This window comes from Homo sapiens, chromosome 4, assembly GCF_000001405.40.
Source record: "Homo sapiens chromosome 4, GRCh38.p14 Primary Assembly".
Classification (NCBI taxonomy): Eukaryota; Metazoa; Chordata; class Mammalia; order Primates; family Hominidae; genus Homo; species Homo sapiens.
Window position 1 is genome coordinate 131,704,614 of NC_000004.12, and position 17,239 is coordinate 131,721,852.

At 33.3% G+C, this 17,239-nt stretch overlaps 1 long non-coding RNA gene and 1 pseudogene across 4 annotated transcripts in view; one reads left to right on the forward strand and one right to left on the reverse strand.

Moving 5' to 3' along the window:
- LINC02377 (long intergenic non-protein coding RNA 2377) overlaps positions 1–13,711 on the forward strand; it is a 338,568-nt gene extending 324,857 nt beyond the window's left edge. For 3 of the 4 annotated variants that reach the window (NR_183920.1, NR_183918.1, NR_183919.1), the window contains 2 exons: positions 9,027–9,090; positions 11,348–13,711. This is a non-coding gene — a long non-coding RNA (long intergenic non-protein coding RNA 2377). The remainder of the gene's footprint in view (positions 1–9,026; positions 9,091–11,347) is intronic. The other variant, NR_183917.1, reaches the window with a different exon arrangement.
- On the reverse strand, positions 15,647–15,930 carry RN7SL205P (RNA, 7SL, cytoplasmic 205, pseudogene; annotated as a pseudogene).

The following is a 17,239-nucleotide window of genomic DNA, read 5'->3' on the forward strand; positions in this document are numbered from 1 at the left end:
AAAATATAATTTAGACATGCAGTCATTCATTGAAATGTACACATGAAGTAAATCAAGTGACCTCATTATTGAATAAATTGATTGAATAAATTGACTGAGAAATATATGAGGTTGAATTAATTTCTTCTTCCACAGAATTTTTTTTATTTATTTCATTTTTGTTCAATGTTTCTTGATATAAAATAGATTATTTTCTATTATTTTCAGATGTCTCAGAAATCTTTCCAGTTCTTTCCTATGGTCTTCAATACGTTTTTAAAAATTAATGCAAAAATGTGGACCATTTAAAAACTAGATTTTCTCAAAGATTCAGTGTTGAAGGTAGTGTCCCTGGAGATTATTTGTTAAAGAATGTTTAAAACTAACTAGCACATGACTAGTCTTTGACATGATTTGTTTTGTAAGATCCTCGTCACCATGATATGTATTCAGGAAAAGGAGTATTCTCAGATTACAGATAAAGAAGCTAAGTCAGACATGTATTGAGTATGTAACTTGATGTGAACCATAAATAAAAATGTGCCAAATATATTAGTTAATTGTATAAATCTAAAGCATTCCATAATAGTATATTATCTCTGGCTGGTGAATCTAGCAAACACAACATATAGTTATCTCTCCATATAGGTGGGGATCAATTCCAGGGGCACCTTCATGTACCAAAATCCACATATACTCAAGTTTCCCAGTTGGCCCTGTGGAACCTGTTTATAGGAAAAGGCAACCCTACAGAAAACACCGCATTTCTTATTGAGTTTGGTTGAAAAAAAATATGCATATAAGTGGACCTGCGTAGTCCACACATGTGTTCAAGGGTCAACTGTAGCTGAAAGCAAACCACATTTAGTTCGTACATATATTTGAGAGAGAATATTTGTAAAGTGTTTTATTTTTTAAAAAAAGCTAACTAAAGAACTAAAAGAACCAAAAGCAAACCAAAATATAAAAAATAAACATTTTTCTAGCTCTGCAATGTAAGACATTTACTTTAAATTATTCAAATGTACCTAAATAGGAATCTAATTTAATTTCAAGTTTATGCTATTTTTGAAGTAAGAAACATGCTGTGTCAATTATGAAACTAGAAATATATGATTGAAAAAGAGTCTACATAGTGAGAGAACTTGACCATAATCTTTGAAAGTAAAATCAAACGAAAGCTATGTAAAAAGTGTGATCATTCGGCTTTAATTTTCAAAATATGATAACAATAAAATAAGAGATATTGAATGTTGCTAAAATTTTTAAATATGTTATGATAACAGCATACATGGAATATTATACATTTATTCAAATTATGTTTTAAAAATAATGACATAAACATACTTCTTATACATTATGATTGAAATGCTGAGGTTTTAATACATAATCAATAAAGCTAAGAAACCCTTAAAAATCAAGATGTACTCCTTAAATAAAATATTGAGTGAGTACTTATAAGGCAATAAGTTTTGTAAAATATGCTAAAAATTTTTAAAAATTCTTTACATATTCGAGACATACTTGAAGATACTGTGGGTTTTGTTCCAGACCATCACAATAAAGCAAAAATCACAATAAAACAAGTCAACAAAAATTTTTGGTTTCTCAATGCATATAAAGGTTACGTTTACATTGTACTGTAGTGTGTAATAGTATTATGTTTAAAAATATAATGTACTTACCTTAATTTTAAAAAGCTTTATTACTAAGTAATGTTAATCATCTGAGCCTTCAGTGAGTCATAATGTTTTGGTTGCTGGAGGGTCTTGCCTCAGTACTGGTGGTTGCTGAGTGATCAGGATTGTGATTGCTAAAGGTTGGGGTGGCTGTGGGAATTTCTTTTTCTTTCTTTTTTTTTTTTTTTTTTTTGAGTCAGAGTCTCACTCCGTCGCCCAGTCTGGAGTGCAATGGCGCCATCTCGGCTCACTGTAACCTCCACCCCCCAGGTTCAAGCAATTCCCCTCCCTCAGCCTACCAAGTAGGCAGGATTGCAGGTTCCTGCCACCACACCCAGCTAATTTTTGCATTTTTAGTAGATATGGGGTTTCATTTTGGCCAGGCTGGTCTCCAACTCCTGACCTCAGGTGATCTGCTCTCCTTGGCCTCCCAAAGTGCTGGGATTACAGGTGTCAGCCGCCGTGCGCAGTTTCATAAGACAACAATGAAGTATGCTGCACTGAATGACTCTTTCATGAAAGACTTCTCTGTAGCATAGGATATCATTTGATAGTACTTATCCACAGTAGAACTTCATTCAAAATTAGAGGCAATCCTTTCAAACCCTGCCATTGCTCTATCAATTACATTTAGGGACTATTCTAAATCCTCATTGTTATTTCAATAATGTTCACAGTATCTTCACCAGGAGTAGATTCCATCTCAAGAAACCACTTTCTTTGTTCATCTATAAGAAGCAGTTCCTCATCTGTTAGTTATATTACAAGATTGCAGCAATTCAGTGACAACTTTAGGCTCCACTTTTAATCCTAGTTCTCTTGCTGTTTCCACTACATTTGCAATTACTTTCTCCTCTGAAGTCTTGAACCCCTCAAAGTCATCCATGAGGGTTGGAAGCAACTTGTTCTAAACTCCTACTAATGTTGATACTTTGGCCTTCTTCCATGAATCACAAATGTTCCTAATAGTGTCTAGAATGGTGGATCCTTTCCAGAAGATTTTTCAGATCCATCAGAGGAATCACTATCTATGACAGCTACAACCTTACAAAATGTATATATTAAGTTATAAGACCTGAAAGTCAAAATTGCTTCTTGATCCATGAGCTACAGAATTGGTGTTGTGTTAGGTTGCATGAAACAACATTAATGTCCTTGTATATGTTCATCAGAGCTCTTGGGTGACCAGGTACATGGTCCACAAGCAGTAATATTTGAAAGAGAATCTTATATTTGGATTAGTATGTCTCAACAGTGGGCTTAAAGTATTCAGTAAACCATGCTATAAACAGGTGTTCTGTCATAAAGGCTTTGTTGCTTCATTTATAGAGACAAGCAGAGTAGATTTGGCATAATTCTTATTAGCCTTAGGATTTTCAAATGGTAAATAAGCATTGGCTTCAACTGAAAGTCAGTAGCTGCACTAACCCCTAACAAGAGTGTCAGTCTGTCATTTGAAGCTTTGAAGCCAGGTGTTGACTTCTCCCCTCTAGCTATGAAAGGCTTAGATGAAATCTTCTTTCAATATAAAACTGTTCTGTCTACATTGAAAATCTGTTGTTTAGGGTAGTCACATTCATCAATTATTTCAGCTAAATTTTCTGAATAATTTGCTGAAGCTTTTTCATCAGCAGTTACTTTTTCACTTTCCACTTTTATGTTGTTAAGACGGCTCCTTTCCTTCCACCTTAAGAACCAACCTTTGTCAGCTTCCAACTTTTCTTCTGCAGTTTTCTCTTACCTCTCTCAGCCTTCATAGAATTGAAGAGCATTAGAGCTTTGGTCTAGATTACGTTTTGGCTGAAGATAATGTTGTGGCTGATTTGACTTTCTGGCAAAACCACTAAAACGTTCCAAGTCTCAGCAATAAGGCTGTTTCTCTTTCTTACTGTTCCTGTGTTCACTGGAGTAGCAGTTTTGATTTCCTTCAAGAATTTTTTCTTTGCATTCACAACTTGGCTAACTGTTAAAAACAAGAGTTCTAGCTTTAGGTCTAAGTTGGCTTTTGACATGTTTTCCTTGCTAGGCTTAAGTATTTCCAGCTTTTGATTTAAAGTAACACACGTGAAACTCTTTCTTACACTTGAACACTTAGAGCCCATTATAAGGTTATTAACTGGCCTAGTTTCACTATTGTTCTGTCTCACAAGTTGGAGTCACTAAGAGAGGGAGAGAGACAGGGAAGTTCTGTTCAGTGGAGTAGTCAGAAGACACACAATATGTATTGATTAAGTTGCTATCTCTTAAAGGTATGGTTTGTGGTTTCTCCCCATATTACAGTAGCAACATCAAAGATCACTGAATACAGATCACCATAACAGATATAATAATAGTGAAAAAGCTTGCAATATTGTGAGAATCACCAAAATGTGACATGGAGACATGGAGTGAGCACATGCTGTAAACAAAGTGGCTCTAGTAGACTTCCTCAGTGCAGGCTTGCCACAAACCTTCAATTTGTGAAAAAGGCAGTATGTGAAGTGCAATATAGCAAAGGTATATGTAAGGTACACCAGTACATCACCATGATAGACCCAAACTTTATACCAGGCACTACTGAAAGAGTAAAATTAGCACAACAGTTAGCATAGACAACATGACAACTTTTGTATGGCCATAGTATAGTTTCAAATATTGTTCACATTCTCTGCAACAAAAGAAGTTAAGATACATTACAGAAAGGAGAATATGAAAGCAGTATTAGTAAAAGGGAATATCCCAACAATAGGAAAGCACCCCATTTGGATATTTATAAAAATTCTAAAAATTATTTTGTGAAAATGTGAAATCCATATTTTAAAGGTCTTCAAAACAGAGAAAAATAGACTAAAATTTTATTAATTAAAGTAAATGTTAACTCCAATAAATGAGGAGAATTAGAATGCATTAAGGTGTTTTAAAATTATAAAACTTACTAAAGTAATTTGGAAAAAAATGTGTATTGATAATACTCATTTAAGAAAACATGGTCATGATTTAGTCAAATCTCATCTTTTGTCCCTTGTTTTTGTTTTCAAAAGTTGTAATAATAATTGACATTTACTCAATATTTTCATATATTGAGTAAAACCATATACCATATAAAAACCTGGTACAGTTTTACAAGCTTTACAGTTGTTATTTGAATTATGAATCACAGCAAGGGTATAATAAAACAAAAATTGCATCCTTTATATAAGTAGAGAAATTAAGCTTAAAATAAATAACAAGTGAGAGGCCATGGTGCCAACCTAGTTTGTCATTTTTCTTTTGAAAATCCTAAGTTATTTGTTGTCAAAATTATCAATATTTTATATTTTGTTGCTCTTGCAAATAAAGCGTTTCTAATTAAAGATCTTAGGGCTTCACATATCCTTCAGATAGCTGGTAAAATGCTGCTTTTTGCTGGAAGCCTTCTCTGCCCTCTGTATATAACAGCAACCTCTCTTCTCGTTTCTTGTCATCTCCAGTACACCTTCTAGCTGCTTTTCTAATTTTATTTTTCCCAAGCACAACTTAGCACTTTACTGGAAGTCATCTGTTTTCTGCTTCACAAAGCAAGGACTTGTCTCAGTTGTGCCCAGCTCTAGCCTCAGGGCCTAGAAAAGTACTCAGCGTGTAATGTGCACCAAATACATGTATATTGGATTAATATTTAAATGCGTATATACTTAGCTCTGAATAAATAGCATCAATATTTGTCTTTTAAATGTTAAAAATATAAAGTGTATAGCCTTCAAAAGTACACTGTACATAAACAATTTGAAGGTGATGAAGAGGACCCTGAAACAGGAATGGATTCCTAATTCCTAGCAGGGATTTAATGGCCATCTCGGAGCAGCCAGATGTTATAAGATAAGGATATAAGATCTGAAAGGCATGGCAGGTAGAAATAGGGCTAACATATATTTTACTTAAAATTTTTGAATTGGCTATATTGAAAAAAGGTTAACACGTGTTACCACAGCAAACACTCTAAAAACTCTCTACTAAGAATTTTGGCTTAGACCAAGGCCAACATTGCTCTGGACATAAAATGGCCTTCTATACATGATGATGATCTTTTCAAAACTAAGTAAGTTAAGTACATTATTTAAAAGATTTTAGTCCTGTTTTACCTGTTATTTCACTACTAAAGGATTTTTCTACTCTGAGTTCACTTTATCATTCTTTTTTCAGAATTTTATCTGTGCTTATTTTAAATAAACATGAAAATCACTACCATTTAAGATAAACGTCCTTTTATCTTTCAATTATTTTTCCAGAGCAGTGCTTTAAGTATTCATATAATTATGAGAGTTTCTAAAATTTTACATATTTTATAACAGTTCATTCTGTGTGAGTTTTCTTTTAATTTTTATAAGAAATATCTTGAGAGCAGTGATACATAATATATTATGCAAAACCTGAAAAAAATAGTGATTTCCAGCATCAAATGTCATTTATTCTTCTGAGAGCCTAGTGGCCTTTAAGTTAATTTCCTATTTTATGGATTTTTATAAATTACTTAGTATGTGGGTTATGTGTACAGAAAACACACCACGTAACTTTAAATTGTTCTCAAATCATTTTGTAAGTCATCAGATAAGTATCTACTTAAGTAATCTATATATTTGTAATAAATATTTGTGTAGAAATAATAGAATGAGCAAGTCCTTTTTCATAACTTTGAATAAAACACTATTTCTCCAGTTAACCTGGAGGGCAAATAAACCTTTTAAAAATATAACAGAAAAGTTCAATAAGAACACAAAGTGTGTATTAAGTAAATGTTACAAAGGATAAATGGAAGTGAAGTACCTGGATTATCCTTACTGAGAATTCAACACCTATAAGTGAATTATAAGTGCAATCACAACTATCACAAACTTTGCTCGATCTCATTTTGGAATTGTAACAGCCTCAAGGGCATAATAACTTTCAAAAGACAGTCACTGAGTGCCAACTATATGCCAGCCCATATGCTAGGTATGGACTACTATGTTTTTTTCTTACTAATTAGAATCACTTAACTGCTTGAAAATGTGCATTGGTGGTAAACCTATTATCAGCCCTTACTCTATCTTTAAAAATTTAAGTTAAATTTTTGATTTAATGTAGAGTCATTGTATACACACACACACACGCCACACACCAAAACATATAACTATTTTTCTTGAAATATCAAAATACCACAAAAGCATTATGATTTTGTTTTCCTAAAATGTTTTAGTGTAAATGACAGTTAGATCTGTAGTCTGATTGCCTTAAAAAGTTGCTTCATCTCTCTCAACTTGAATTATTATTATTATTATTTTTTTGAGATGGAGTCTCGCTCTGTAGCCCAGGCTGGAGTGCAGTGGCATGATCACGGCTCACTGCCAGCTCCACTTCCCAGGTTCACGCCATTCTCCTGCCTCAGCCTCCCGAGTAGCTGGGACTACAGGTGCCCACCACCACGCCCGGCTAATTTTTTGTATTTTTAGTAGAGACAGGGTTTCACCATGTTAGCCAGGATGGTCTCCATCTCCTGACCCTGTGATCTAACCCCCTCGGCCTCCCAAAGTGCTGGGATTACAGGTGTGAGCCCAAACCCTGAACTTGAATTTTTTAATCTGTAAAATGACATGATAATATTAATATGCTGATGAAAGTTGGTTTGCTCTCAGATCGATTTCCTCAGCAGTTTTATTTTTTCACTGTAACAGAAATCTGCATTTCTCATGCTTCCTTGTCATCTAGTCTTTGGGTAGATTCAGGCAAGGGAAGGCAAAAGCCAAAGATTGAAGGGCAGGAAAAGGCAAGGAGAAAGGCCACTTCTGTTTTTGTTTGTTTGTTTTCTCTGCTTCTAATGACACCTACATCAGAGATCATATTTCTCCCTGGTCCCATTTCTCACCAGCAGTATTTCTACTGTGAAATGGCTCATTACTGGATCTCTGGAACTTTAGTTTCTCCCATTGACCTTACTATCATGAGGAAAGGATTAGTTCTCTGCTAGTGCTAATACTTTCATCACTATTCCTTGCTTTGTTTCTTAGTTATTTTCACCCTGATGTTACCTGCTCCACATAATAAAATCAGATTGTTTGTTAAGTCCTAGACTAGTTTCTGCCTTGCTGGCTATATCCTCAATGAAGAGTAAATATTTACCTCATGGGAGAAATAGACCTAATGGATTTAGGAGTTTAGCAGTTTACAGGGCACAAATTAAATCTCAATAAATATTTACTCTGAGTAAAAAAGTACAAAATAGAAGTACAATTCTTTTTTATTGTCATTGATTTCAGAGCAAAATGAATCAACAGTTGACAAATTAAGGATTAACTTAGGCAAGATTATTCAACAAATATTTATTATTCATTTGCTCTATGCCAGAAATGTGTCTTCATGCCAGGTTAAGAAAAAGAGAAAACAGAAAAAAAAATAGCTGTCCCTGACTAAAAGAGCTTATGTTCTTTCTTTTTGGGCGAGAAAGGTAGTGAAAAATTAAAAAAAGAAACGCAGTATTAACATGCGGATAAGTTGTAGGGTGAAATTTGAATGCAGATCCAGAGTGACTTCTGCCTCTCAAAAGAATTCTGCTGAGATGTCCAGAAGTAAGTAGAGTAGCAAGCAAATATCTACAGCGCATGTCTCTTTTAAAGACAGAAAAACAAAGTGGTTTCTAAGGTGGGTGAATCTTGGCATTTCCAAGAAATATCAGGAGGCTCTTAAGGATAGAATGACCAAAACAATGAGGGCTGTGATAAAATAAATTGGGGGAGGTATGGAGAAGGATCCCATATTGTTGCTTTCACAAGCAATGACAAGGTTTTGGGTTTTACTTTGAGAAGGGGAACAATTAGAAAGCTATGAGCAAGACCGTGAAATTATTTGATTTATGTTTTATAATCATTCTGACTCCTGGCTGAAAAACAGCCTCTAGGAATGAAAGTAAGAGAAATAGGGTCATCATTTATTAAGCTATTCCAATGATCCAGTGCTTTGGCAGTTGCCTGGACATGGCTAGTAAGAGGTAAAAGTAATCTGATACATCTTAAAGGCAGGTGTTCATGGATTTGATACGGCAAATGAAAGAAAGAAGCCACTATGCGTTATACTCCTTGAGCCAAAATTGAGGTGTAAAATAAACATGCCCACATAAATGGTTGATTATGTTCTTAAATGAAGGAGAAAATAGTTGCAGTGATGTTAAGTCATCAACCATTTAAAATGTTGCTTTTGAAAGAGATGAATCAAGGAAGCGATGGACATGAATTTTCCTTACCTAAAAAGCTAGTGAAAATTAAGAGTGACATGAACAGGATTAAAACTTTATTTTATAGTGGTACTGAGATGAAACATCACACTATCCGACTTCATAGCTTAAAAATATAATCACCCCACCAACTTCTCACTCTTTTCAAGGATTTTGTGAGTAACCAGCTTTAATTTGGAAAACCTAGACTTCTACATACAGATTGTTATGTTTGTGAGTATGATTATTTCTATTATCATTTTGTTTTACATTGTGCTTTATCATTCAATAATTAATATCTACCATTTTCCATTAACTAATTTATTTTATGACCATTTATTATTATTATTACCCTATGGTAGTCAATAATTACTGATACATATTCCATTGTTTTTGGGGATTTGATATAGAATCAGAGAAGTTTGTTGCCAACTCCTTTTTAGTTGAATATATATTGTTTTTGTCTTATATTTAGTTTTTGTGAAACTTCAGATTTTCCATCTTGCCCCACTATTTATTGTTAAAAATCATATCCAAATAAGACAAGGTTTAGGAACACACACAGTTAATGAACACATGTTAAATTATAATAACACAGAATACATTTTTGAAAGTAAGTTTATTAAAATTAGCAATATATTTCTAGTTATATGCATAAGGATATACCAACATGGATTTTGCCTGCCCAATATTAATTTTCTCTTAATTTCTTACAGAACTTCAATTTGGTCATGAGTCTAATCCCCAAATTATGTTTGCTGTCATGTACTCATGACAGCTCTTTTTCTTGATTTTTCTAGCCTTTATCCATTTGGAAATGTGAACCACCTTTTATAGGTGAGATACAATACAGCTGAACACTTCTCTAAAGGTTTCTGTAAAAAAGCATAAATGTACAAGTCTATCATCCTGATTCTATTTAGTTTGCCTTGAATATGAATGTGTTAAATGAAGTAAGATCTCACATCTTGCAACATGAAGTGGCAGAAGGGTCAACATAGAACAAACGTCAGAAGAAATTAACCAATAGAAAATTCCTCATTTGCTAAATTTTGTTAAAAGAAAAAATAGATTTTAATATTAATCTGTTCTACACAGGCAAATGTTAACTGCAATGAAAATGTCTTTTAGATAATTCAGAACACTTTCCATCCTTGGTAAAAGTATTCGTTTTACTGACTCACTATTATATATTTTGTTAAGTCAGAAACTCATATTCAATCAAAGGAAATAAAAGTTCCCCCTAATTTCTAGGAATATAAAAAAATAGGTACACATAGCTTAGATAATATTTTCTATATTTGTTCAAGTAAATCAGTTTAGTAATTGTTTGACATACTTCCAATTGATGAGTCCAATTTTAGAAGGAATTTTAGTTGGAAATGTTATTCTCTTTATGAAGATGTAAATGGCTGTGTTTACTGGCCAATATTTACATACACATACAGTCAATGAATGTTAATTTGCACACAGTGGCATATATAATTCAAAGTTCATTTTATTAGTTAATTTAGATATGGTTCAATAAGAGTTTCAAACTGAGGGCATAGAGTCATATAACATTCTCTAGAAGAACAACTTCTCACAAAAACTAAAATAAATTGCTTTACCATGTTTGCCTTTGTATTTCACTTTTTCCATTCTGAAGAATGAGCATGGTAAAATTTACATATATCTAATGCATATAATGGGCAATGTATGAATTATTTTACAAATTACTCATAACCAGAAGAGTTCTGTTGGATTTTACCATATGGCCAGATTCATCTTGCCTTTCAAACTTATGTAAGTAATTTTTCCGAATCTCTTTTTTTCCCATAACATACATGCTGCTGAGTCCACTCCTCCAAACCAAGTAAAGACAGGAATGCTCATGGCCAAATCATAAGTATAGAAAGTGACTTTTGAACTGACGAAGACTTTCTTCTTGTCTACGCTTTAGTCAGGCTTCTAGGAGCACTCTTTCTGACTCTACTTTGTCCTTGGGCACTGTCTTTACACTGCCTAGTCCACTAGTCCAGCTGTTACAAGAATGCTGCTAAGTCAGTTTAGAGAGAATCTCCCACTCTTGATATCTGATCACTCTGGCTTGCCTTCAGCAAGAATCCTCTTAAGTTAGCTAACAAGAAATGCCCTACCCTTGATGTCTCCTCTTAGTAATTTGTATTCATCGACAACCCTTCACTTTGCTCATTAGCTACACTTCCCAGATATCTTTGCTGTGTTCAGAGTTGAACCTTATCTCTCTTCCCTGTTAGAATAATCTTGACTCCTATCATTTTAATCTTAAATAAAGTGATCCTTAGCCATTTTAACAAGTGTTGGAAATTTTTTTATTTAGCAGAACTAACAAATCGTTTGCAAACTATTGAAATAGAACTATTCTATTATGGCCTGCAGATATTTTTCTCAATTATAATTCACTTTCATATTGTAAAAGTATCTTTGCTTTGTGTATATCTTTTTCATATAAAAACTTTTAATTTGGCAGGGAACAGTGGCTCATGCCTGTAATCCCAGAACTTTGGGAGGCCCAGACGAGCGGATCACCTAGGTCAGGAGTTGAGGCCAGCCTGGTCAACATGGCAAAACCTCATCTCTACTAAAAGTACAAAAATTATCCGGGCGTGGTTGTGGGCACCTGTATTCTCAGGTACTTGGGAGACTGAGGCAGCAGAATCGCTTGAACCCAGGAAGCAGAGGTTGCAGTGAGCCGAGATCAGGCTGCTGCACTCTAGCCTGTGTGATAGAGTGAGTGAGACTGTGTCTCAAAAAACAAAAAACAAAACAAAAAAACTTTCAATTTATTTTCCAGAGGTCTATTTTTAATTTAGTAACAAGATTTTAAAAAATATATATAAAATTAAATAACAGTAGAAAGTTAGAACTAGGCCCTATAAAATATAAAATTGTCAAAATTGGTTAGCATGATTGTAGCTTCAAGGATCATATTGTTAATGTGACAACTTCTGAAACCAAACATCATCATGCTTGGCATCAAGAGCTAAAGTAGTCATGAGTTAATGGAGAAGAACAACTAAGGAATTGGCTGGTGAAGTAAAGTTTATGCTAAATTTAATTGAAATGAAATAACAAAGCAGTTTGAAACGAACATTCCATTGATTATTTTTAAAATTTTATTTATTAACAAAATAGCTTATACTAACTGCCCACTCTCTATCCCAATAGTCACAGCAATAACATATAGTTAACATTTGTAATTAAATATTTCATTTCATACAAATAGTATTTTAAAATTCAAGTGTTGATTTTTAAGCCTTTGAATGTTTGGCTGTTTAAAATTTAAGTGCATATAAAAAATTGTAGAAAAGGGTCATTATTAATAAAATATTCAAAATATGGTAAATTATGCATGATGATTTAATATATGCAAATTGACAAGTGATGTGAATAGTACATTTGAATAGAGAAAATATGTACATAAATGAATGGTATTTCAGAATCTAAGCAAATTGATGACTCCATTATGTACTTGTCCCCAATGTAAATGAAATATTAATTAGAAAACTTTTTTTTCACTAAAGGGCTGAACATAAAGTGTGATGGCAAATTGGTGTGTTCTTGTATTTCTTGTCTTTAAGAATTCTTTTCAATATATTTTCACTTAATGTTTTAGCAACACTTTTCATCATCCTTTTACACTTATAGCTGGACTATGCTTAGTGATAGAAAATAGTTATATAATGGGATTATACTTGGCCATATGAATTTGACGGTATGAGTTAATCTATGTTTCATCTTACTTGTGTCTACTTGTAAGTCATTGATGCTAATGTTATTAGTAATTTTTATTGGGTAGAAATATTTTCTATATGACATTTTTGAGAAAAAGAAGTCAATAAATCCCATTTGATATGCAACAGAAATAAAGATCTCTTATTTCAATTTTAAAATGCTTTATAACTTACATTGCTTTGTTTTATGCAGTATTTGTTTTGATCAGATGCAAAATGAGCCAGTAATGGCATCTAACCACAAGTTTGATATATTTTTTTAAAGAAAAATTTCCAAAATACTATAACTGAGCAATAGGCTAATACTTCATAAATTAAAATATTTAAATATTCAATCTTTCTGAGTGGATATTTGTTGCATATCTGATAACTTGGCCTAATTCTGTAATTGGGATGAGAACTACCCAATTTTATTGGTAACCTCTTTTCTGCTCTGCAACTTTGGAAATAATATGGAGGACTTCAAATTCATTTGAGACAAAAATATTAAAAATGTAACCCCTGATTAGGATTTCAGTTCCAAAGCTCTCCTTGGAGGGATATAGAGCTGGAGACAATCAATCACATTTATTTTTCATCTCCTTAATATTGATATATAAAAGTCAGGTTAAAATTAGTATCAAAATGGGAAGCCTGCATTGTAAACTGGCTGGAATAATACACTCTGCAATATGAAGGAAAAAGGAAAAATTTAGTTGATTCATTTACTTAACTATAATTTTTTAAAGAATTTTAAGTTTCTAATAAATTTAACTATAAATTTTTAATTTTCTATCTTTCATTTAGTACCATCTATATAAACTTTTCCAGGCTACTTCTCTGAATCACCTGGCAAAATCTTATAATTTACCACCTAACTGAATAAAACACACACACACAAAATAATCTATTTTTAATAATAAACATCATTTATAATTACGTTGTTGAGATTGAGAGTAATCATCAGGTGTGGAAAAACTGAGGAAATTTTAACAATTTAAAATGTAATAATCTTTTTTGTATTATGTGTGTTTTATACTCAGAAGTGCATATGTTTTATAAAATTATGTGAATTTATAAGTGTGGTCAATATTAATATTAAATTGTATCTTTTAATAGTATCTTCAATTGTCTTTTTTTTTGCTACTGGATTCCATTTAGAAAAAAAAATGTTCTATATAGCAGTGTTGCTTTATTTTTCTTTTCTTTTTGCTTTTCTTTCTTTTTTCTATTGATAAAGTATTTACTTGATCTTGGGGAAGAGGTATATAATCAAATGACCACATTTTTCTTTGTTACATATTATTCACAATTTATAATCAATCTTTCCAAATTGTAATCTGTCTGAAGCCCATTTGCTTTACTCAAATTATTTAGTGACTGTGAAAGTTTCAGAAACATATGAAAGTTACAAATTAGCTTTAAATGTGTCATGTTTAAAGCAGTTGTTTTAAAAGCTAAGTTATTATCCATTATTATGTAACTAGTATTCTAAATATCACATCTTTGCATGGTTTGACTTTTAAAGCATATGAAATGTTTTGGATCAGAGAAATCATTTGCTTCACATCCCTAAGAGACAGACACTATGGGTACTGAGTCATGCTAATAGTGGCAAAACCTGACAAACAATAAGCATCATTTTCAAATATTTTAAACATTTCACATAAAAATTTACTTTTAGCATACATTGCAGCCATCAAGGAAGCCTAAAGTAAGGAAAACCTCAGTGAAATATGATGAAGTTAATAAAAAGAAATAGCCATCATTTTATTTGTTTAAATTGCCATTACCTCTCATGTAATTATTTACAATATATAACATAGGATAATTAAGTCAAACTGTGTACCTACAGATATGGAAAGCCTTTTATTATAGGAAAAAGTAAAAAGTAAATTAACTGGTAAAGATGAGCTTTTCAATCTATAAGGCATAGACACTTCTCCTTAGTGGATTTGAAAAGGTTGTTATAAATCTGAAAATAAGATAGGTTTTCTACAATAAATGGTAAAAAACACTTTCACATCTTAACCTTATCATAGTATCACAATGCTGGAATGTTTTTACTAGGAAATAAGTAAGCTAATTCAATTATAAATTGCAGTAGAGGAAAAGATGAAGGTTAAAAAACACTATCTATTCAAATCCTTAGTCATGAGGTTGAATTCATTGAATCAGAGTGTGAATATATATCTATATTTGAGACAGAATGTGTATGTATGTGTGTGAGTGTGAGTGTGTGTGTGCAGTCATTAGATATTTGCCTCATGGACAGTGGAGGAAAACATTTGCTGAGCTGCTTTCCTACCTTAAAGATTTAGAACTGCACTGTTTTCAAGATATACTTTTTATATCTCAAATAATTTAATATATTATGTTTACTTGTTGATATAACAAGATATCTGAATACCCCATAATTGAAATTATACCTGGAAATAAATACTTGAAATACTTGCTTCAGTGACATTTGTGGAAGTATACATATTTAAGTTCAAATTATAGGTAGATTGAACAAAATGATATTGGATTCTTCACTGGCTGCATACTTCTGAAACTTGTAAATAATTTGAAATTAGTTTCCAAGAACAGAAAGACAAATATTAGATAGGAAATACCAAATTCTTAAGATTCATACATATAAAAGTGAAATAAAAATCAAACTTAATCTTATGAATTTTCAACTGTGGCTTAATTTTAGAACTTGTTATAAAAATAGAAACGCTATTTAATTATATTTATTAAAATCTAAAAATACGTGATTATAGCTAGGACATTGACAAGTGTAAGTATACATGAGTAAATATAACTGAGGATAGCAACACATGAAATATATCATAAAATTGAATTATTCTATAAATAGTATTGTCTGTATTACTTGGAACTTGATTCCACTTAGAATGTCCCTGCTTTTATTTATTTATTTATTTATTTATTTTTGTAAACAAAATGAGCAAGAGGTTATTACACTTCATTCACTGCAAAAAGGTAACACTACACCAAAGATAACTCACATACTTGCAGAAATATGGAAAGTATTTCTTTCTTTTTTTTTGTTAAGAAATAGGGTCTCACTATGTTGCCCAGGTTGTAGTGCAGTGACTATTCAAAGGACTCATCCCACTACTGATAAGCAGAGGAGTTTTTTTATGCTCAGTTTTTGAGTTGACCACTCCTTAGGCAACCTGGTAGTCCTCTGCTCCCTGGAAGCTAACATATTGATGCCAAACTTAGTGCAGACACTTCATCAGCATAGTGCATACAACCCAGAACTCCTGGGCTCAAGTGTTCCTCCTGCCTCAGCATCCTGAGTAGCTGGGACAACAGGTGTGTGTCACCTGGCTGAAAGGTATTTTTAAATACAAATGTTGTCCAGGAGTGACAGAAGCTGGAGAATTGGACTACTTGATGGAGGCTTTGTACAAGCTTTGAACAATAGTAACAACAAAATTGAAACACCAAAAATATTGTTTAATTAGCAGTTAACCACCAATAAAAGGAAACCAGCCATTTCGCACAGAGGATTTTGGTAATTGATTACATGATTCAAGGAAATAATATTATTAGGTGTGTATTAGTCCATTATTGCATTGCTATAAAGAAATACCTGAGATTGGGTAATTTATAAAGAAAAGAGGTTTAATTGACTCACAGTTCTGCATGCTGTACAGAAAGAATGTTGCATCTGCTGGGCATCTGGGGAGGCCTCATGAAATGTATAACCATGGTGGGAAAATGAAGAGGGAGCCGATGCTTCATATAGCTGGGAGCAAGAAGAAAAGTGAGAGGTGGGGAGGTGCTACACCATTTTAACAACCAGATTTCATAATAACTCACTCACTCACTATCATAAGAATAGCACCAAGGAAATGGTATTAAACCATTAAAGAGAAACCACTCCACAATCCAATAACCTCCCATCAGGCCCCACCTCCAACACTGGGGATTACAATTTGACATGAGATTTGGTTGGGGACATAGATCCAAACCATATTATTTTGCCCTAGTCCCTCCCAAATTTTATGTCTTTCTCAGTTTGCGAAATACAGTCATGCCTTCCCATCAGTCCCCCAAAGTCTTAACTCACTTCAGCATTAACTCAAACATCCAAAGTCTAAAGTCTTATCTGAGATCAGGCAAGCCCCTTCTGCCTAAGACCCTGTAAGATTTAAAAAAAAAAAAACAAAAACCTCCCAAGATATAATGTATAATGGGGGTACAGGGATTGGGTAAATACTCCCATTTCAAAAGGGAGAAATTGGCCAAAAGTAAGGGGCTACGGGCCCGATGCAAGTCTGAAAGCCAGTAGGGAAGTTATTAAGTCTTAAAGCTTAACAATCTCCTTTGACACCATCCAGGGCATACCACTGCAAGGGGCGAGCTCCCAAAGTCTTCTGCTGCTCCACTCCTGTGACTTTGCAGGGTTCAGCTCCTACAGCTGCTCTCAAGGGCTGGTGTTGAGTGCTTACACCATTTCCAGGCACACAGTACAAGTGCTGGTGGATCTACCATTCTGGGGTCTGGAAGATAGTGTCCCTCTTCTCATAGCTCCACTAGATAGTGGTCCAGTAGGGACACTGTGTGGTGGCTTCAATCCCACCTTTCCCCTCTTCAGTGCCCTCGTAGAGATTCTCCATCAGGGCTCTGACCCT